This window comes from Homo sapiens, chromosome 18, assembly GCF_000001405.40.
Source record: "Homo sapiens chromosome 18, GRCh38.p14 Primary Assembly".
NCBI classification, from domain to species: Eukaryota; Metazoa; Chordata; class Mammalia; order Primates; family Hominidae; genus Homo; species Homo sapiens.
Genome location: NC_000018.10, coordinates 13,876,278 through 13,897,269, shown reverse-complemented (window position 1 = coordinate 13,897,269; position 20,992 = coordinate 13,876,278). Strand labels below are relative to the sequence as shown.

At 45.1% G+C, this 20,992-nt stretch overlaps 1 protein-coding gene across 4 annotated transcripts in view, besides 6 other annotated features; it reads left to right on the top strand.

The window, feature by feature from the left end:
- The window catches only part of MC2R (melanocortin 2 receptor), a 33,664-nt gene extending 18,438 nt beyond the window's left edge, over nt 1–15,226 (top strand). For 2 of the 4 annotated variants that reach the window (NM_001291911.1, NM_000529.2), the window contains exon 2: nt 11,624–15,226. In NM_001291911.1, coding sequence (NP_001278840.1) covers nt 11,752–12,645 — 894 coding nt within the window. In that variant the 5' untranslated portion in view covers nt 11,624–11,751 and the 3' untranslated portion in view covers nt 12,646–15,226. Of the gene's footprint in view, nt 1–2,091; nt 2,624–3,573; nt 3,731–11,623 lie in introns of all 4 variants that reach the window. The other 2 variants (XM_047437537.1, XM_017025781.2) reach the window with 2 other exon arrangements.
- Nucleotides 3,404–3,523: an enhancer, noted in NCBI's record as "active region_13129". NCBI's record gives its function as "activates an Ori minimal core promoter by ATAC-STARR-seq in GM12878 lymphoblastoid cells {active_cell/tissue: GM12878}" and the evidence as "EXISTENCE:reporter gene assay evidence [ECO:0000049][PMID:35858748]".
- Nucleotides 4,892–5,041: a silencer, noted in NCBI's record as "silent region_9338". NCBI's record gives its function as "represses an Ori minimal core promoter by ATAC-STARR-seq in GM12878 lymphoblastoid cells {active_cell/tissue: GM12878}" and the evidence as "EXISTENCE:reporter gene assay evidence [ECO:0000049][PMID:35858748]".
- Nucleotides 5,072–5,121: a silencer, noted in NCBI's record as "silent region_9337". NCBI's record gives its function as "represses an Ori minimal core promoter by ATAC-STARR-seq in GM12878 lymphoblastoid cells {active_cell/tissue: GM12878}" and the evidence as "EXISTENCE:reporter gene assay evidence [ECO:0000049][PMID:35858748]".
- Nucleotides 9,422–9,934: an enhancer, noted in NCBI's record as "H3K4me1 hESC enhancer chr18:13887335-13887847 (GRCh37/hg19 assembly coordinates)". NCBI's record gives its function as "activates a minimal SCP1, AML or CMV promoter by ChIP-STARR-seq in naive H9 embryonic stem cells {active_cell/tissue: H9 hESC(naive)}" and the evidence as "EXISTENCE:reporter gene assay evidence [ECO:0000049][PMID:30033119]".
- Nucleotides 17,932–18,664: an enhancer, noted in NCBI's record as "OCT4-NANOG-H3K4me1 hESC enhancer chr18:13878605-13879337 (GRCh37/hg19 assembly coordinates)". NCBI's record gives its function as "activates a minimal SCP1, AML or CMV promoter by ChIP-STARR-seq in naive and primed H9 embryonic stem cells {active_cell/tissue: H9 hESC(naive and primed)}" and the evidence as "EXISTENCE:reporter gene assay evidence [ECO:0000049][PMID:30033119]".
- Nucleotides 19,865–20,835: an enhancer, noted in NCBI's record as "NANOG-H3K27ac hESC enhancer chr18:13876434-13877404 (GRCh37/hg19 assembly coordinates)". NCBI's record gives its function as "activates a minimal SCP1, AML or CMV promoter by ChIP-STARR-seq in primed H9 embryonic stem cells {active_cell/tissue: H9 hESC(primed)}" and the evidence as "EXISTENCE:reporter gene assay evidence [ECO:0000049][PMID:30033119]".

Sequence of the window (20,992 nt, the reverse complement as noted above, 5' to 3'; positions counted from 1 at the left end):
TCTTTTCTATTCTAATAAGACACCACTGAGTTCAATGTTTCACAATTGCTGTGCTCTCCCTCCCCCAGCATCCAGAGATGCTCTCCACACCACGCTACCACTGGGGGGTTTGGGGGGGTGGTGTCTGCAATTTGAGACTGTTTTCTCTACCACTTCAGTGCTTCTTTCAGCAATATGAAGTTAAAACCAGGTACCATGAGGGCTCGCCTGATTTTTGGCTCTTATGAAGGTGTTTTTCCTATGTAGATAGTTGTTGAATTGGTGTCCTTGCAGGGGGACAATCAGTGGAGCCTTCTATTCTGGCATTCTGTTCTGTCTCTGCCTTTATTATTTCAAGGTATGTTGAGCTGTGATTTTAATTGTCATGTAGCATTCTATTGTATGGACTTGCGGAGTATATTTAACTAATCTTTAATCACCAGTTTATTATGTTGTTTTTAGTTTTTCACTACTTGATATAACAGGTCAGTGAATATCATTGTATATGCATCTTTGTAAACATCATTGATTATTTGTTCAAGGCCACTGAGTCATAAATCAGTCATGTTTTTAGGTCTTAAAGGCAGAGAGTGTGTTCCTTGCTCCAGATATTTAGTGATAACACATTTCATAGCTACAAGGTCTAAAGTAATATTAGATACCTATATTTAATAAAAATTGCTACCTGGATTTTGAATAATTTATATTTATTTAAATGTAAATAAATCATAGATGCTTATTTTATTTCTAACTGTTTTTTATCTTCTTTTCTTCAATTTTCCTTTCTCTGAACTGTCATTGTTCACATTAGGTTCCAATCTTAAAAGAAAACTATTTGCTTAATCATTGTACTTCTATATTCTTTCTCCAACTTTTACCCAAAGCACAGAATAGTTACCTCTCACACTTTTCAGCCAATTCTCTTATATTTTTCCTGGTTGAGAAAGCTTTGTGCCAGGGTCAGGGAGGGAATGGCTGCTTCTAGGTGTCACATCACCTTTCTTAACTCCCTGTGCTACTTTTTTGATTTGCACCAAATGGAACCCCAGAAATCTGACATTAGTAAAAATTTTCATCCCTTTACATTGAGAATCTTGGCCTTATACTTTTTAATCATGATATATACTAACTCTTATTTATTAGAACAACATCGTGCTTTTTATCCTGTGTGCCTCATAGATTTCACATTTTGACATAGACCTTATGTAACCAATATGAGTTGCTCCACAAAGTAGTGGTAAAATAGTCATATCTCTTAATATTCGAATTAAATATTCAAATACCAATCTAATATGTGAGAAAAAAAGAGCCAGTATCTTCCTCTGGGCTGCCTCTGTCCCCCTGAATCTTCTAAAACCTAGAGACTTATGGAGTCCAAATCTGAGCAAGACCAGTCTGGTATCTGATCTACTACTGTCCTTGCTTCTCGCTGCCTCATGGTGTTGCTGTTGCGGATGGCTCCTCCACCTTCTCACAGAATTTGCTAGTGCCAGTGGTATTTCAGCTCCTAGTCCCCTGCACTTTCAGTCCCACATGCAGCCTTCCCAGGGTGCTAACCACCCCTGGAGCTCCGGGCCAAAACCAGGTCTGACGTCACCTCCCCACCCTTCCTGGAGGTAGACTGTATCCACTCCCCTTCCTGAGAGTAAATATTCTCAAAAGTTGAGCTTTTTTTTCTTTTTCGACATTCAGAAACTAAGAGGTCTGATTTCAGCTGCTTTCTACAGGCAGAGGGTCCTTGCCTGCCCCTTCCTGCTGAATAAAAACCTCTCCTGACTCTCTTGCACGAAGGTCCCATCATTTCCTGCCCTCACCACCTGGAGACTTCTGACCCTGCAAGTACTGCTCTTGTAAATAAAGCTGTTTTCAGGGACTCTGCAGAACTTGACACTTCCCCCTGTCTAGGAGGAGAGTGAAGGCTGTCCATTTTTCTGGTACTACTTTGAAAGAAGAGGAAGGCAACATTTTGATCTCTAGAAGAAACACTTATTTTCCCATAAAATTTTAACTCAAGTATTATCCACTGAAATGTAAGCTCTGATATATGATGAAATTAAACCACTAACTCTGTTTCTTGTATGCTTTATATCTCCCCCAAACATATTTGTTTAGAAGCACAGGCTGTGAATCATTCAGATTACCCTGGGTTGTTCAAGTTGCTGATTGTCACATCCCAAGGCATCCATAAATTATTACCGTGCACCTCAGTTACCCGGGAAGATACAAAGAAGAGGGTGTCAAATTTGCCAACCTTTCAGGGCACTGCCCGGCTGCTCAGGAGACAAGACATCTACACTTAAAGCAGACTTTTCCCAAGAGCAGAGAGTGTCGCCTGCCACACGCAAGCCAAGAACAAAACACGCTGTGGTGTTGTGATGGCACAGACAGGTCGCGTGGGTTGATATGGAGCCAGAGACCTTCAAAACATTTGATCTTGTTTGGGCTTAAACAAATATATGATTTAGACAGAGGAAAGATTCGAAAAGTTCAGAGGGAGAGCAGTACTAAAAAATGTGACAGGCAAAAATGAGCAAGGCATCTTAGAGACAATAAGAGGCCTGGGCCAGCTGGAATGCGTGTTCTACACAGGAGAATGCTAGAAAATACAGTGAGAAAACAGCATGGAAACAGATTGTACAGAGCTGTAAGTGCCAAGTTTTATTTTAATAGAATTTTATACTTTAGGCAATGAAAACTAATTGAAGAATAATTTCCTTTATTGAACCCACACTGTGTTCCAGGATCTGGGCTGGTAATTTACATACGTTATCGCATAGAATCCAGACCACAGCCTGTAAAATCTATGCACTGAGTGTTGTTATCTTCATTTATTTACATGTACGTGAAGACAACCATAGTTAGGGAGGTCTACCTCTTTGATGCTGCTTCTGGATTTCAATGATTACTTCTCTTAGACCAAAGCAAAAATTAACTTCCACGAAAAGCTCTCATATGTTTGGGATAAATTGGATATGAGACTCTCTAGTAATACCCAAAAGATCGCCTGTCTCACAGCTATGTTGTGGGAAGAAATAGAAAAGAAAATTAAAGAACAAAAGGTCACCTGTCACTAATCAAACTTTAGTTTGATATTGATACATCCTCTCTCTCTCTCACACACACATGCACGCACACACACACACACACACACACAAACACACATGCTTCTATTTCTCATTTCTCTTCCAAAACTATTGAAAAATTTCCAGGAAATATCAGAATCTTTTTAAGGAGAAAGATGAGTGAGCAGAGGTGAGACACAGAGATTTATTATCACTCAAATATAAACTTCCAGAAGCCAGTGCCTCCTCATGAAGAGGTGTTGGGATCCAATGTAATATTGCTTAGGCCATCCCTCTGGTGAACAACCTCAAATCTATTCTTAGAACAGATTCAGCTCCTTTCCATAACAGAGTATCACTCCTGTGCAATACAGTTAAATGCAATCACAGAGCTGAATATCTGCAGACTCAGCCTCTCCACGTCAGTGATTCATCTTCACCCTCTGCATTGTACTATATAATTTGAGAAAAATCCATATCCATTGAGTGCTGTCTACAACTTCAAAATCTTCTCTTTTGTTATTGATTTCAGTCGAGCTTCCCTCTAGCCAGCAAGCAACACAAACCCCAAAGTAACTAACAGTGACTGGGCAGGCACAGGCGACAGCTGGGCCGGCTGAGATCTCCATTACCTCAAGAGGGAAGTGAAAGCTTGGTGATTAATATAAAGACTTTTTTTCATGTGGAGGGTAAGACAAGCAAAAAATAAATCCCTTAGTGAAAGAATTCTTAGCAGCACAACCTGATGAGCTTGGGCACCTTCAAGACCCTTCTACTTCACAGCTTGTATGAATACTCATAAGCACTCAAAGCAAGCACATCAACCAGCTTCAAAGCAGAAGATCTGCACTTCAGATGAGTCTAAAAAACCAAAAGGCACAGTGGTAAAAAATTACTCTCTGACTTTCACTATCAATACTCATACTCTTCCATATTAGCCATCTCGCCACCCCACGCCACAGTGGATAACAAGACAAATGCTTGATTCAGGACTACTTGTGAATCATGCAGACATATAAACTTCCGGATGTCGTTCAGAATTCAACCAAATAAGAAATTGGGTGGAAGCCATCACAAAGAATTTCACAGCAATCAATCGTATGCATGTCTAAAAAGAGGATATTCAGTGGGGGCTCCTGAAGGAGAAAATAGTTCACTGCACATGAACTGAAGATTGAGATCTGTTATGAAAAGGCACCAAAACAAGCACAAGAATCTTTGCAAATTGTTCATTTGGGGCAAGGCATAGTGACTCACGCCTGTAATCCCAGCACACTGGGAAGCTGAGGCGAGACAATCACTTGAGCCCGGGAGGTTGAGGCTGCAGTGAGCCATGACCACACCACTGTATTCCAGCCTGGGCAACAGATGTGTGTGTGTGGTGTGTGTGTGTGTGTGTGTGTGTGTGTGTGTGTGTGTGTGTAACAGATTATGTCTATCTCCATCTCTATTTCTGTATCTCTCTTTCAAAATAAGGTTAATAGCTCTCTTTTTTTCTTTATTGTCATGGTTAATTTTATCTCAACTTGACTGAACCATGGGGTGTCAAGACATTTGGCCAAATATTATTCTGACCCTGTCTGAAGAAAAAAAAAAGTTCATTTATTGTCACTTTTATTACAAGTCCTTCAAATTGTTCTACGCTGTTCAAGCCAAGCATCTAGGAGTGAAGGGGTGCCCTGGCAGAAAAGGAAGGCACATGAGCCAAGGTGAGCTGGGCTCATCCGCCACCCATGCTCCAACCACCACCAGACCCTGCCCAGAGGCCTGTGCTGAACAGGGATGGGTGCCGGTGGGGAGGGACGGGTAGGCCCTCAAGGGAAAGGGGCAGCCAGTCCTACAGGCTTATTGAGGGCTCACATCTTCCCACCCGCCCCCCACCATACTTCATCCTCTGTTTTCTAAGTTTGAGTCAAAGCCAGTAATCTCTAGCAAAAGTCACAATAACTCTTCCCCTTTCAGAGGGTGGCTTTCAACATTCAGACCACCTTCATTCTGACTTGCCACCAGAGGAATATGCAACATCCTTAAAAGCTGCCACAGGGGCTCTGAACCATCAGCGAGAGGGAGTCATCCATTCCCTAGCCCCCAGCACGACCCTGCATGATGGTGAAGGGCCCCTGAATTGACCCCAGACTCTGGTCCTCTCAGGACACAGGCCACCACTGGCCCTTTTAAATTATGCAAAACCCTGCCTGGCCCTGTGTGTTTGTTTGTACTTGACTACTGCATCCTGTTTCCCATTTTTTATCTCTTCTTTATTAGATCATCTTTAGCTTATTTTGCTGCTTAGTTTTTCCAGTCTTTTTCTTCTCTGTTTGAATTCAGGACCAAGAAATAGAAGCACTAATCAGTAATAAAGACAGGTCATGCACAAAGAGAAAATGCCACTCCCTCCCTCTGTCAAATGTTGAGGTGGGATGGGTCAGATGTGTTCCTGGGCACTGAAACAAGTAAGAGGCCAAGACCCGAAGGGCCAAAATGCTGTGAGCCTGCAGGAATGGCAGTGTGATTGCCCCAACTGGAATGTCAAAGCCACCAAAAGGAGGGCTCACAGACTCCACAGCAAGAATATAGACCAAAGTAAGATGCTGAAACAGTCCCCAGATGTGTATTGGCAATAATCCAAAAGCCTGACAGCACTTTGCACTGAAGAGGCTAGGGAAGGGGCAGGCACTCAGGCATTGCTGGTGAGGATGTCAACCAGGATAGCCCCTATGGAAGGCAGCCTGACAACATCTATCACAACCACCCATGCATACACATTTGCCCTCAACAATTCCATTTTTGTAAAATTATCCTCCTCATGTAGGTTCACACAAAACTATATACGTAGATGATTATGCATTATAGCATTATTTACACAGCAAAATATTGGAAACCAAATAACTATCAATACAGAATAGATTAAATAACTTGGGATACATCCATACAATGGAATACCATGCAGTGGAAGAAGGAAAGAAAGAAGAGGGAGGAGGAAGTGATCCATCTACTTTTTGGAAAGCCTCCAAGATAAGAGCAAGGTACAGACATGATATACAATATACTCTCTTTGAATACACAGGAAGCGGAGGCATGCTGGCCGTGGACGTGAGCCACTCAGCTTTCCTGCCATTAGAAAAGAGTTGACAGCCCAGTTTTCCAAATCCCTCCCCCACCAATATTCATGGGCAGCTTTGGCTTGAAGCCTCCCCATGGCCAGATGAAATGTTCTCAGAACTGTGCTGCAGTCTGAGACCCGCCCTACTCAATCCTCTTCCTCCTTGTGTGCCCAGGAGTCATGCCTGCCTCCAGTCTGCAGGCTCCTCTTCATCCTTGACAGGCATTGCTAATCCCATCATCTCAGCAATTGCTTCCCAGAAACCCTAACGACTGAGAGAAGACATGGATATTCATGTTTGCTGGTGTATGCATAAAGAAATTCCAGAAGGAGACCGGACTTCTGAAGGTGGCGATGGGACCGTTGGATAAAGCATGGGGAGGGAGCCTTTGTACTATTCATACATATCCACACATACAGACACACAGACATAAGTGTATTGGGCCGTACAACTTATGCAACGAGTGACATAAAAATCTTAAATGCATCTAGTGAAAACAAAGAAAAAAGGCAGCACAGAAGCTGGGACGCGGAGAGGAGCTCCTGATTCACTCAGAGCTGGTCCCAGAACCTCACCCCGACACGTGCAGATCAGCCCCAGCCGCGTGACAGCTCCCACCACCAGAACCCAGAGCTCAGGAGCACAGTCCTACACTGGCTCTCTCTAAAGCCTGGATTACAGGACTGCCCTCTAGAAAAGCCTGAAAGCCCCTGGTAAACAGTACTCAGCCACTCAGTCCTCCTTCCCCAGCTCTTCTCCAGAAGAGCAATCCGAGAAAACACCCAGCAGCGCAGAGGAAAGCGGCACAGTGTTGCTAACTTATCTTCAGCAAGATCCACGGAACCCCAAAAACACAGCCCATGGGCCCCAGGACGCCTGCAGCCCTGCTGCTCAAAGGCTTTCTGTAGCATTAACTCCCTTCCTAAACCACAAGTGGTGTCTACAGGTCTTGCTGTTCTCTAAATTTCAGAGAGATTTTTCTCTAAATGAAATTTAGAGAACAGAAAGATTTAAAACCATCCTGATTTGGTCAGATACAGAGGTTTAAGATTGTTAAGTTATTTTGTGTTCATTTTTTTACTAAAGCCATTAAAACTTCCTTATCAAATGAATATTCATGGAAGCGCTAAGATTAATCATTTTTGGAGCCAAACAGATCTTGATTTAAATCCCAGCTGTGCAACACAAAGCCTGTGGGACTTTAGACCGGTCTCTTGGTCTCTGGGCCTCAACTCCTCAGGGGTGAGTCAGATCAGGGGTGAGTCAGAGAGAATAGGACTCCCTTGTATTGTCAACAAGAGGATTAAAATGAGACCCACCATGCACAGCACAGGACACAAGACCAGCTGGCACATAACAAGAATTTAACACATAATAGAGCCTTCTCCTTACCCTTGGAGCCTTTAAAAAATATAAAAACTATATATATTTTTTTTGGTCAAAGATGATGATCAATATAAAAATCTCACTTTAGGCCCATGCTCCCTGGACTTTCCAAAGAGCATCTAACAGAGTGAGCCACATTTGGGGCCACATTTGAGTTATCCGGGGCCATGTTCTTGTGCCCTGTGATGCTGTTAACTCGATGATTTGTGCGCCCCTCCCAGCCAAAAAACAAAAGTCGGTTTTGCTTTTCCTTGCAGTCCCTTGAACAGTTATAACTACCCCAATTGTCTGCTCTGCCTGCCAAGACCTACGCCTTCAGGCAAACGAATCAACCAAGTTTCTTTCTGGGTACAGATTATAAAGCTATGAAAAACTTGTCTCTTTTCTCCTTTCTCATCCACCACCCCATCTCTGCCTCCTGGGGAGCACTGCAGAGTTAGAGCCTTCTAAGACCTTGTTTACTGCAAGCTCAAGGTGATGGAGCTTGGTCTTCGGGCCAGGAGTTAACTCCAGAGGTTCCAATAACATAAGAAAGAATGAGATTTAAAGATCACTCTGCCAGGTGGGATGGTTCATATCTGTAATCCCCAGTGCCTTGGGAAGCTAAAGTGGGAGGATGCCTTGAGCCCAGGAGCTTGAGACAGGTTTCAATAGGGTATGGACAGAGGAAAGCAGCATGGAATTGAAGGGTGGACATTTATTGCCCAGCAAACCACAAACCCTGGAAGGAGGTGGAAGGGCTCTAGACCTGTGTTGTTTGCAGTGAAGAAATCAAGACACAAAAAAGCAAATGGGAGAGGACAGCAGACGGCTTTGAATGGATGAGAGCCAGACATATGGCAGGTGCAGACCCCTATCCAAGTTCTTTAAGCCAAAGACATTGTTGAAATATTTGGATCATTGACGCCACCTCACAGCAGGTCCTTGTGAAGTTTAAATGGAGTGAGTTTTGCTTCTTCTAATTGTCATTTAGTGTGTTCTACAGGCAATCTCTAAGCAGGAACAACAGGAGCATAGCAATGCAGCAGAATTTACAAATCCTACTTGGCACTGAGAAAGGCCAAGTCGAGAGGAAAGTGACTGCTGTCAATTTTATTGCAGTTTGTGTTGGAGTAGGGGGTGCTGTGTCTGGTCTCTTGCATCTGTTGTTATTACCCTTGCCACTTGTGAAAGGAGTGTGACATGGTGGTCACAAGGCGGGCTCTGCTGTATCCTCTCCAGACTGTGGCTTTGGGCGTTTGCCCAACCTTTCTGGGGTAGCTTCCTCTGGGGGTTGAGTGAGTGAATGCATCTGGAGAATTAGGTGGTGCCCATGGCATGCTGAGCACTCATAAAGGCCACCAATTCGTGTCACTGGCCCTTCAACCAAGAATGGGGCCACACACCACCTGCAGCCCCCACCACCAGCTTGGCAGCATCCACAAACGTGCAGTAGCAATGCTTGATTGGTGGCCTTTTGAAGGGACCCCATGGGCACACTGTGTATCTGTCCAAATTCAGGGCTCCCCATGGATTTATAGGATTGGCAGCTGCAGGTCAGCAATGCACAGCAACTGAAGCTGGGCTCCCAAACCACCTGTTTCTAAAAAAATATTACAACCACTTTCAACATGTCTTTTTTTTTTTATGAATTTTACCATCAAATGCATCTGAAATTGGAAATATATACTAATTCTGATTACATTTAATGGACTCATGAGATGGGAGTATCTGTCCCAGCAGAGTCTCCATACATGGCCCATGCTGGCCACAGGTGTTGGCCCCTGTATTAACCAGGATTCTGAAGAGGAAAATAAACAGCAGGAGATGGGTAGAGACATAAAAGATTTACTATAAGGAATTGGCACACACAGTTATGGGGCTGCGCAGTCCCAAGCTCTACACTCAGCAAGCTGGAGACCCAGGAGAGTAGATGATGTGTTCTGGTCTGAAAGCCAGCAGACGTGAGACCTAAGAGGAGCTCACACTTCTGTGCTAGTCCGAAGGCAGGAAGAGACCAGTGTCTCCATCAGGCAGTCAGGCAGGAGGAGCCCCCCAGGTCGTCGAGGAGCTGGTCTGTTATCCTCAGGCTTTCTGCTGATTGGACAAGGCCCTCCCCCATCCCAGAGGGCCTCTGTTTTACTCAGTAACCTGTTCAAATGTGCATCTCACCCAGAAACACCCTCAGACACACCTAGAACACTGTCTCACCACATACCTGGCACCCTGAAACTCAGTCAGGCTGAAACATGAACACCAACCACCACAGGCCCCCTCCCATCACCGATGCTTCCCCAGCAGGTGGGGCACAGCACACAGGACCCCTCCCATCCCTGAGGCTTCCCCAGCAGGTGGGACACAGCACACAGGCTTCCCCTGCCATCCCCGAGGCTTCCCCAGCAGGTGGGACACAGCACACAGGCTTCCCCTGCCATCCCTGAGGCTTTCCCAGCAGGTGGGACACAGCACACAGGCCCCCTCCCATCCCTGAGGCTTCCCCAGCAGGTGGGACACAGCACACAGGCTTCCCCTCCCATCCCCGAGGCTTCCCCAGCAGGTGGGACACAGCACACAGGCTTCCCCTCCCATCCCCGAGGCTTCCCCAGCAGGTGGGACACAGCACACAGGCTTCCCCGGGCCTGGGCAGGAGGCACGAAGGTGACTCATCCCTGTCTGCCCAGGACTGAGGTGGTTCCTGAGATGCAGAACTTCTGGCTTTTAAACCCTGTCCATGTTTCAGGCAAACAAGGTAAATTGGCCATTCCAGGCAGAACCCTCACAGCAGCTACGCCCTGTCAACCCCTTCCTTCCGCATCCACCGGACCCACAAACCTCCTTCTGAACACTTGACCTCTGACCCAATCCTTTCCAAGGTAATTAGTTCCTTTCCAGACAAGTCCCTAGAGTGAGGCCGTGATGGGCTCCCCGTGGACTTCAGATCATAGGCTGTGCTCCCAAATTTGTCCTCCCTAGGAAGTGTCTTCCTCGCCACGTGGTGCTGGCTTTCCCCACTGGTGCACTGCCGCAGTCCGCCTTCACCCCAGAGACACAGAAAATAAGAAGTCTCCAGAAATGCCAGTCCCAGGAGCTCCACCTTTGAAACAGAAGTGCTGACGCTCATTGTATAGTCATCTTTGGGAATGATACATCAGCACCTTTACCGTTATCCCACAGGCTGTGGGGTCAGGCAGTGACCCAGGGAGACGAGCAGTGAGAAGGAATGGACTAAACATCTCCCGAGTCCACCGAGCCCAGCCACCGCCTCCCAGTCAGAGAAGGCAGCTGTGGGCTCTCCTGCTCCCACATGGACCTTTCCTTGCTTTACCTCTTTTTTCATCAAGGGCACCGCTGCTGTTCATCTGTTCATCCCACACTCACGTGTGTTCACGAGAAGGATGGGAGGGAAAGTGGGGCGGCAAAGAATAATCTTTGCTATCATCTCTCGGCTCAAAATTCCACTAAAGCTTTTTCTCACAAAGTGCTTAAGATGAGGGCCCAGTATATTATTTTACCTAAATTACAACACTTTATATATATTTTTATAAATGTAAGGGGTACAAAAGTGCCATTTTGTTACATGGATATACCGTGTAGTGGTGAAGCCTGGGCTTTTAGTGTATCTGTCATCAGAATAACATACGTGTTACCCATAGGGTAATTTCTCATCACCCGCCCCCTCCCACCCTTCCGAGTCTCCAATGTCCATTCCACACTCTATATCCACGTGTATGCATTATTTAGCTCCCACATATAAGTGAGAACATGTAGTATTTGACTTCCTCTTTCTGAGTTATTTCACTTTGATAATGGCCTCCACTTCCATCCATGTTGCTGCAAAAGACATGACCTTATTCTTTTTGATAGCTGGGGAGTACTCCATTGTGTATATGTACCACATTTTCTTTATCCATTCACCCATTGATGAACACTTTAGTTGATTCCATATCTTTGCTATTGTCACTAGTGCTGCAATAAACATACATGTGCAGGCTCCTTCTAATATACTGATTTCTTTATATTTTATGGAGGGAATAGAGTTTCTTTAAGCGAGTGTGGCTGGTTTTTATTTTCTAGTGTACTTTGCAACTAATATTTCTGTATACTCCCTTTTAGGTGATTGGGAGATTTTAACTTAGATCTCCAGCAAGTGCTACAAGGAAGAAAAGATCCTGAAGAATCAATCAAGTTTTCCGTGAAGTCAAGTCCAAGTAACATCCCCGCCTTAACCACAAGCAGGAGAAATGAAGCACATTATCAACTCGTATGAAAACATCAACAACACAGCAAGAAATAATTCCGACTGTCCTCGTGTGGTTTTGCCGGAGGAGATATTTTTCACAATTTCCATTGTTGGAGTTTTGGAGAATCTGATCGTCCTGCTGGCTGTGTTCAAGAATAAGAATCTCCAGGCACCCATGTACTTTTTCATCTGTAGCTTGGCCATATCTGATATGCTGGGCAGCCTATATAAGATCTTGGAAAATATCCTGATCATATTGAGAAACATGGGCTATCTCAAGCCACGTGGCAGTTTTGAAACCACAGCCGATGACATCATCGACTCCCTGTTTGTCCTCTCCCTGCTTGGCTCCATCTTCAGCCTGTCTGTGATTGCTGCGGACCGCTACATCACCATCTTCCACGCACTGCGGTACCACAGCATCGTGACCATGCGCCGCACTGTGGTGGTGCTTACGGTCATCTGGACGTTCTGCACGGGGACTGGCATCACCATGGTGATCTTCTCCCATCATGTGCCCACAGTGATCACCTTCACGTCGCTGTTCCCGCTGATGCTGGTCTTCATCCTGTGCCTCTATGTGCACATGTTCCTGCTGGCTCGATCCCACACCAGGAAGATCTCCACCCTCCCCAGAGCCAACATGAAAGGGGCCATCACACTGACCATCCTGCTCGGGGTCTTCATCTTCTGCTGGGCCCCCTTTGTGCTTCATGTCCTCTTGATGACATTCTGCCCAAGTAACCCCTACTGCGCCTGCTACATGTCTCTCTTCCAGGTGAACGGCATGTTGATCATGTGCAATGCCGTCATTGACCCCTTCATATATGCCTTCCGGAGCCCAGAGCTCAGGGACGCATTCAAAAAGATGATCTTCTGCAGCAGGTACTGGTAGAATGGCTGATCCCTGGTTTTAGAATCCATGGGAATAACGTTGCCAAGTGCCAGAATAGTGTAACATTCCAACAAATGCCAGTGCTCCTCACTGGCCTTCCTTCCCTAATGGATGCAAGGATGATCCCACCAGCTAGTGTTTCTAATAGCTAGGTTCTATGTGAACAGTCTTATTGTAGGGGCAACCTCTTAACTTTGTGACTGGACAGATAAAACGATGTAGTAAAAGAAGGATAGAATACAAAGTATTAGGTAGGTACAAAAGTAATTAAGGTTTTTGCCATTACTTTCAATGACCAAAAATTGCAATTACTTTTGCACCAATCTAGTAAAACAGCAATAAAAATTCAAGGGCTTTGGGCTAAGGCAAAGACTTGCTTTCCTGTGGACATCTAACAAGCCAGTTCTGAGGTGGCCTTTCCAGGTGGAGGCCATTGCAGCCAATTTCCAGAAGTTAAGTACCTGGACATGCGACTCCAGGCAGAAGATGTAGGGTCTCTGTAAGCCAATAATAAATTGGAAGGAATGCATTGCTGCAGCTGAATTTGTCTGTCTCCCACAGCCATGTGGAATCTCCACCCTCCTCTTTCTCCCTGTTAGTCTGATGTATTGATGCCACCTCAGTTTCAGAAAGTAGGCTGAGTATAAACTATAAATGTCAAATAACGAGCTTCGAGTTTCCAATGATAAATGGACCTTCTCTGTTAGTCTTCTTTGCTCACTCAGTATCCCACTGGCCTTAAAACCCTTTCCTGTTACATTTCCTCATGCTTTATGAGCATACATTTCAAAGGAAGAAATGAAAATTTAATCCATTTAGTTCCCATGTGGGAATACATAAAGGCCAGATGAAAATTGTCACTATTTGAAGAAGCTGTAACCAAACTATGTGTGTTACAATGTAGAAGTACAAGAAAAGAGCCCCAACATGTATTTTAAGAAATAAAGAGAGAGAGACAGAGACAGACAGAGAGAGAGAGAGAGAGAGAGAGAGAGAGTGTGTGTGTGTGTGTGTGTGTGTGTGTGTGTGTGTGTGTGTGTGTGTGTGTATTTTCCCCATGCTTTTGGACTATGGGGAAAACCAAAACCAAAGCAAGACATCAAGCAATGGTGCTGTTATTATAGCCCCAAGTCAAAGACCTGAGGGAGGCAAACACCACCTCATTCTGCAGATGAATGTGAAAGCAGACCCAGTCACTGGGAAATGTCATCCTCCCATCAGCCAAGATGCCAGCAATGGAAGAGTGGCAACCCCAGTAGGAATAAAAGAAACATAATTTGCAAGTTCATTCATTTTTAATAGCTAAAAATCAGCTTAAAGGAGAAGCACATCCTGATTGTAAGTCCCCACTAAGTTGGAGGGTGACTTGAATGGGGTGAAAGGTGAAAGGGACAGAGGAGAGCAGTGGGGCTTCAGAGGCCACCAGGCTCAGGATCTGCAGGATGGATGGTATCTTCCAGAACAGGCAATGCTTTGCCCTCAGGAGAATTTCCCAGAGCTGCTGAGGGGAGAAGACAGCCACACACAGGACAGACCATTTGGTGATGGGTTTGATATTAGAAGTGGCAGGGACAGGAACTTCAGAAGCAAAGGAGGCAAGGCAGCTGGAGTCAAGTGAGGACAGTGGCAGGCGTGCTTTCACATGGCCTGTCCCACAGATGGAGGTGAAAGGTGCACCTTCTTGTCCTCTGTTCTGTAGAAATCCTTCCCTGTTTGATCCTTCCCCTGCCAAATGAACTATGTTACTCTAATACTAACCTGTATTAATTAATATATGAGATATATATAAGTTAATTTTTCATGAAATCTAAAGCACAACCCTAGAACTAATTTTTAAAAGTGTTATTTCTACCATTGAAAAAGTAATGTATAACATATTTTATGTGATTAAAGTGCGTATTCTCAATAAGAGGTAACCTTTTTTTGATGCTGCAATGCTCTGTGATACCACAGAGGTAAGCAATGCCACTTAACCTGTATCATAAATAGTCCCAAACTGCTCTTCCTATAAAATTCTGCCTTTGTCAACAGCTTTGCTGTCTCCTAATCACTCTCAAGCTCTCTGCTGTGCATGTGACTGTTGTCAGAAGGAAAATCACCAAGAAACTTCACCTCTCACTGCCTTTGATTTGTTGCAGTTAATCTAAGAAACAAAATGAAGATGGCTAGTCTAATGGTGGATGAAACAAAAATGAAGTCTGAGTGCTAATTCAGAGAACTTGCAATTCCAGACATTTTCAATTCTAGGTCTTCTGCTATATTCCAATCAGAACAGAAGCTTCAGGGCTCATAGTTACTGAGAAAACTCACGTTTTTCTACCTCTAACTTCATATAGAATTCCAAATGAAAGCACCACCAAACTGCACATATTTGTGTGAGGAAGATCAACAAGCTTCAGACTTTTCCCATGAGGACTTAATTCTTTTATCAAATTACCCAATTTTTAAACTGCTGTGTGGATACTGTGAGTGTTCAGCTTTATCGATGACCTAGCCTTGGACCAGATAGCTGAAAATGTTCAGGATGTGTACTCAAGCTGATAGTAATTCTGAGCCCTGTCTAATAAAAAAGGAAGGATGTTTCCTCTTCCTCTCCTCATTTTCCCACCAGGTCATGGACAGACAAGAGAAGTTCAGCAAACACCGCAGCTGCCCCTGCAGCCACACATGTGTTGAGCTATGGTGAGAAGAGCATGGGTTAGGAGTCCCTGAGAAGCACGAGCAAACCAGTCAGTGAATTCTGAAACGTGGTCAGAGTTGCTGATGTTTATGTGGCTGTAGCAAGATATCTAGTAATAATAATACAAATAATAACAGCAATAATAATAGTACCTATCTATTACGGAGCAGTTGCTACAAGCCAGGTATTGTTCAAAGAGCTCTACATGCATTAATCCTCACGACTACCCTAAGGGCAGGTGTATTATTGGCCTCATGTTTTTAGGTGAAAAAGCTGAAGTTCAGAGATAGTAACTTCTGCGGCAGGCAGACTCTAAGGTGGTGTTCAGAACCCCTCCCCCTGAAGTATGGATAGGACCGTGACTTGCTTCTAACCCATGGAATGTGGCAAATGTGATGTGAGGTTGCTCTCATGATTACAGTCCATTATCTAAAACCCTGTCTTGGCCAGGCATGGGAGCTCACATTTGTAATCTCAGTGCTTTGGGAGGCCAAGGTGGGAGGATTGCTTGAGCCTAGGAGTTCAAGACCAGACTGGGCAACATAGGGAGACCTCATCTCTACAAAAAATAAAAAATAAGTTAGCTGGTTATGGTGGCATGTGCTCTAGACTACTCAGAGACCCTGTTACTAAAAGAAAAAAAAACATAATCTTGCTAGCAGACATGTTAGAGAGCCTCTGCTTTCTGACTTGATGAAATAAGTGAATATGCTGGGTAACCCCACATGGCAAAGAACTGCTGGGGCCTGTAGGAACTGCTGGGGGTCTCTGGGAACTGCTGGGACCTCTATGAACTGCTGGGGGCCTCTAGGAACTGCTGGGGGCCTCTAGGAACTGCTGGGGCCTCTAGGGACTGCAGGAGACCTCTAGGTACTACAGAAGTGATGCAGGATTTTTCTCAACCACTTTGTCGAATTTGCAATGGGGGTTCCACATTTACTCGGCCCACAGCGCTCAACCCCCTGTGGAAGGGAGCACGTGATTAAGTGAGTGCAGGATCCAGCCAGCTGCTTTGGGTGCCAGCAGGAGCAAGCTCTATGCAGACCCTGCGGTAGTGCCCAGGTGGGGGTGCCTGTGATCCCCAAAGTCCCTGAGGGCATGTTATAATGCTCTCTTAGCTCCACTCTCCGTGGACAGCAGTGTGTTATCAGTTCAGTGGGCCCCTTGCCTCACTGTGTGGGGTGGCTGCCCTCTGCCAGTGAGGGCAAAGGACCAGTGTGACAGCCTTTCTTTGGGTACCCACACTTGGGGGGTCCCGATCTCTTGGCTGGCATCCAAGAAGAATGGGGTTGCCCAGACACTTGAAGGATGGTGAAGACAGAGAGTTTTATTAAGCGATGGAAATGGCTCTCAGTGGACAGGGAAGCTGGAGAAGGGATGGGACAGGCAGGTTATCTTCCCCTGAAGTCCAGCAGTCCCTCTGAAGTCAAGTCACCTCTCTCCAGTCAAGCTTCTCTCTCTCTACCTACTGAGTCTGCAGTGGCAAAGGGTGAGGGGCAAGGCAGGTAGTTTTGGAAAAGGCAACATTCAATTGGTAAAAAGACATTATTCAGAAAGAACCAATTGGGAAAGAGCAGCCAAATGGGGATACAAGTTCTCACTTTGGGTCCTGGGTTTCAGGCTTTTTGGCTCAAAGGTGGGATTTTGCCAGAGACCCACCCCTGTCTGCCTAGAATTTCTCTGCCTCCTGCCTCTATCAGAAGTGCCTCTAGGAACTGCAGGGGGACCTCTTGGAACTGCAGGGCAGTCGGGGGGCCTCTAGGGACTGCAGAGGGGCCTCTAGGAACTGCTGGGTCCTCCAGGAACTGCAGAGGGGCCCCTAGGGACTGCAGAGACCTCTAGGAACTGCAGAGGGGCCTCTAGGGACTGTAGGAGGCCTCTGGGGACTGCAGAGGGGTTCTAGGAATTGCAGAGGGGCCTCTAGGGACTGTAGGGGTCTCTATGAACTGCAGGGGCCTCTAGGACATGTGCAGGGCCCCTAAAAGCTGAGGGGGACCTCTGGGAGCTGCAAGGGGATCTCTATTTCCTGTGCAAGAATGCGAAGTTCTCAATCCTGCAGATCCTGGGCCTCAAATGAGAATGGAGTCCAGTCCACACCTCGATTTTAATCCTGAGATCCAGCAGAGGATCCAGCGAAGCCATGTCCAGTTTTATGACCCACTAAACTGAGATAATAAATGTGTGTTGTTTTAAGCAGCTAAGCTTTGGAACTGTGTTATGCAACAAGGAGACTAATAAACTTACCCAACTCAGGTTAGTGAGCGCCCGAGTCCGTAGTCCGCTCCAAGTCACTGTCTGGCCCAGAGCTCATGCCCTGGGATGCTGATGCCCTGGGATGCTGGGAAGCTCCACATGCAAACAAAGGGCCATGTCTGGGGTAGCGCCCATTTGCTCAGCTTTGTTCCAGGCCTGGGCAGGCAGCCCAAGAACACCTGAAGCCATTGTCCCTTCTCCGTCACTGCTTCTCCCTCCCTGCACACTCAGCTCTAAGATTGGATGGTAATCTAGAGATAATTCACCATTGTCCCTACTCAACAACCAGAGCCCTGGCTGGGAGATTTTGCCTGGAGGGAGAAGAAACCCATTAAACAAATATCTCCTAATTTTTGTCCCAAAGAAACTGATTGCATCTTCAACAGAGTGCAGAGAAATCCAAGTACTCTCAAGAACAGCGAAGTTTCGAAGTCACTGAAAAATGTTTTAAAATAATAAATATATTAAGAAGAAGAACAATGGAAGTTGTAGCAAAAGGTAACTGGGAGAATGACAACTTCCCGCAGCCCTGTAGGCTGAGAGAGCCCAGGGTAGAGGCAGGGCCAGCCTTCCTGAAGTTTGGAATTACTCTCAGTCATTGACCTTGGGAAAAATCCTTCAAAGGAGGAGAATGTGAGTAGATTCCCCTCTGGAGCAATTTATGCCCCAGGGCATTGTTGAGAACAATAGAGAAATCAGTCAGCAATTACTGGTGCTTAAGAGCTGAGTGTACTCAGGGACCGAGACATTCAGACAGCCCTGTCAAAACCACTGTCATCCCAGAGTGACAGTGGGCAAACCCAAGTCTGTACCCCCTGAGAACATTAGAGACAGAACACTCCTGGGTGGGATGGAGGAAGAGACTGCTCTAAAATAATCCAGACACAGTGCAGTGGTTTACATCTGTAATCCCAGCACTTTAGGAGGCAGAGATGGGAGAATCCCTTGAGGCCAGCAGTTCGAGACCAATATAGGCAGCATAGTGAGACCCGCCCCCCATCTTTACAAAAAAACTAAATTAGCTGGGTGTGGTGGCACGTGCCTGTAGTCCTAGCTACTCAGGAGGCTGAGGCAGGAGGATCACTTGGGCCTATGAATTTAAGGCTACGATGAACTGTGGTCAAGCCACTACACTCCAGCCTGGGTGACAGAGTAAGACCCTGTCTCAAAAAAAAAAAAAAAAAATTTCAGACAGACACTAAACAAATAAACAAATAGCAATAACAAGCTCCCGAAAGGGAGAGGCATAGGGCCAGTACTCAGAGTTGCTACAATTTATTATCTAAAATATCTAGTTCAAAAGCATGTATTATCTAAAGCACCTAGTTCCCAGCAAAACATTATAAGACATGCTAAAAAAACAGGAATGACCCACAGCATGGGGGTCAGGGAGCTGCAACACAGACTGCCTGTGAGAGCAACCAGATGTCAGATTTAACAGACAAAGATGTTAAAACAGCTATTGTAATGTAAAGAAGTCAAGTATAAAAACAATATCCCATCAAATAGAGAGTATCAATAAAGAGATAGAAATCATAGAAAAGTACCAAGTGTAATTTCCAGAAATTAAAGTACAGTCACTGGACAATTAAAAGAGAATGCAGGAGCAGTACCACAGAAACGGTGGCATGAAAAAGACAAATAACCACATTAAAAAATGGACCGAGCATCTGAAATGTCATGCTCCAAAAAAGATACACAAATGAGCACTTGAAAAGATGCTCAGCATCATCAGACTCAGGGAAATGGAACCAAAACCACAATGAGAGTCCACTTTGCCCTGACGAGGTTGGCCAGAACCAGAACATCAGACAATAGCAAATGCTGGGGAGAAGGTGGGAAAATCAGAACCCTCATACACGGCTGGTGGAAATGGAAAATGTTGAAGTCTCTTTGGAAAACTGACTGGTGGTTCCTGAGATGGTTACAGAGCCACTGTGTGACCCAACAATGCCTCTCCAGAATTGAAACATACGTCTACATAAAAATGTGTACATAAATGTTTACAGCAACATTATTTATAATGGCCAAAAGGTGGAAACAATCCAAATGTTACCAGATAGATAGTCTTGAGGGTGAGTTGTCCAGGTTCTTGTCGTGTTGAACAAAGAATTGAACAAAATGCACAAAGCAATGAAAGAATGAAACAACAAAAGCCCAGACTATTGAAGTGAAAGTGTTCTCCACAGGGTGGGAGCGGCTGGAGCAAGTGGCACAAGAGCCCCAATTGCGATGCTCTTTAGGGTTTTTATTAAGCTAAAAGAGTTTGGTAACAGAGGTCTCCAGTTGGTTACACCCTATGTAAATGAAGGATTTGCCCGAGGCCAGTTAGAAGCTGAAGCAAAGAGGCTGAAGTGAGTTGGCATCTTATGCAAATGAAGGATTAGCCCACAGCCAATCAGAGGTACTTCCCAATTGTGGCAGTGGAGGGGAAGGGTCTGTAGGAGGAATGGCCTATGGTCCCTTGTCTCTTGGGTATGAAGAGGTGGGATTTCCTTTTGAGCCAGTTCCAGGAAGTCAGCGTGAATTGGCCTTAGGTTCCCTATCTCCAGACCCTGTTCTCCTGCCTCACAAATGCCCATCACCTCACAAATGGAAAAGCACAATGTAGTATATCCATACAATGAAATAATATTCGGCTGTGGAAAGAAGTGCTGACACACTCTGCAACGTGGGTGAACTTTTGAAAACATTTTGCTAAGTCAAAGAATCCAGGCACAAAAGACCGTGTATTATGCAATTCCATTTACTTGAAATATCCAGAATCGGCAAATCTATAGAGACAGAAAGTAGATTAGTAGTTGCATAGGGGTAGGGTTTGGGGAATGGAGAAATAGGCAATGATAGCTAAAGGACAGAGGATATCTTTTTCAGGGGGTAAAAATGTTCTAAAATTCACTGTGGTAATGGATGCACATATCTGTAAATATACTAAAAACCATTGAATGTACACCTTAAATGGGTGAATTGTATGGTGTGTGAAAAAATAAAGCTGTTTTTTAAAGACCTTACAAAGAGACTACTTATGTTCAGTTTGTGATTCTTTTCTTTAAACAGGCCAGCATACAGTATGTGTGTGTGATCCCTAGTGGTGGAAGAAAGTTAATTTGCTCCTATGTTAAGACTCTTCTCCCAAACAAAGCTCGCATAGGTTTTTCTGTGAGGCCCAATTTCCAATGGTATCGGCTCCACTAAGCATGAGTTCTCTGCAGAGCATCTTGCCTTCCAAATACTAAAACATGGAAAAATGCCACTGAATCATTCTGTCTCTGGGATACAGAAGTAGCAAGAAAACTTTAATAAATGAAGTGCACTTTTTACAATTATCATGGAAGAGTCCTGAGCAAGTTCCATTAGGGTCACAGGATGAAGATGCAATATGGGGGTTGCTGGGGGGATCTTCCAAGTAGAGAA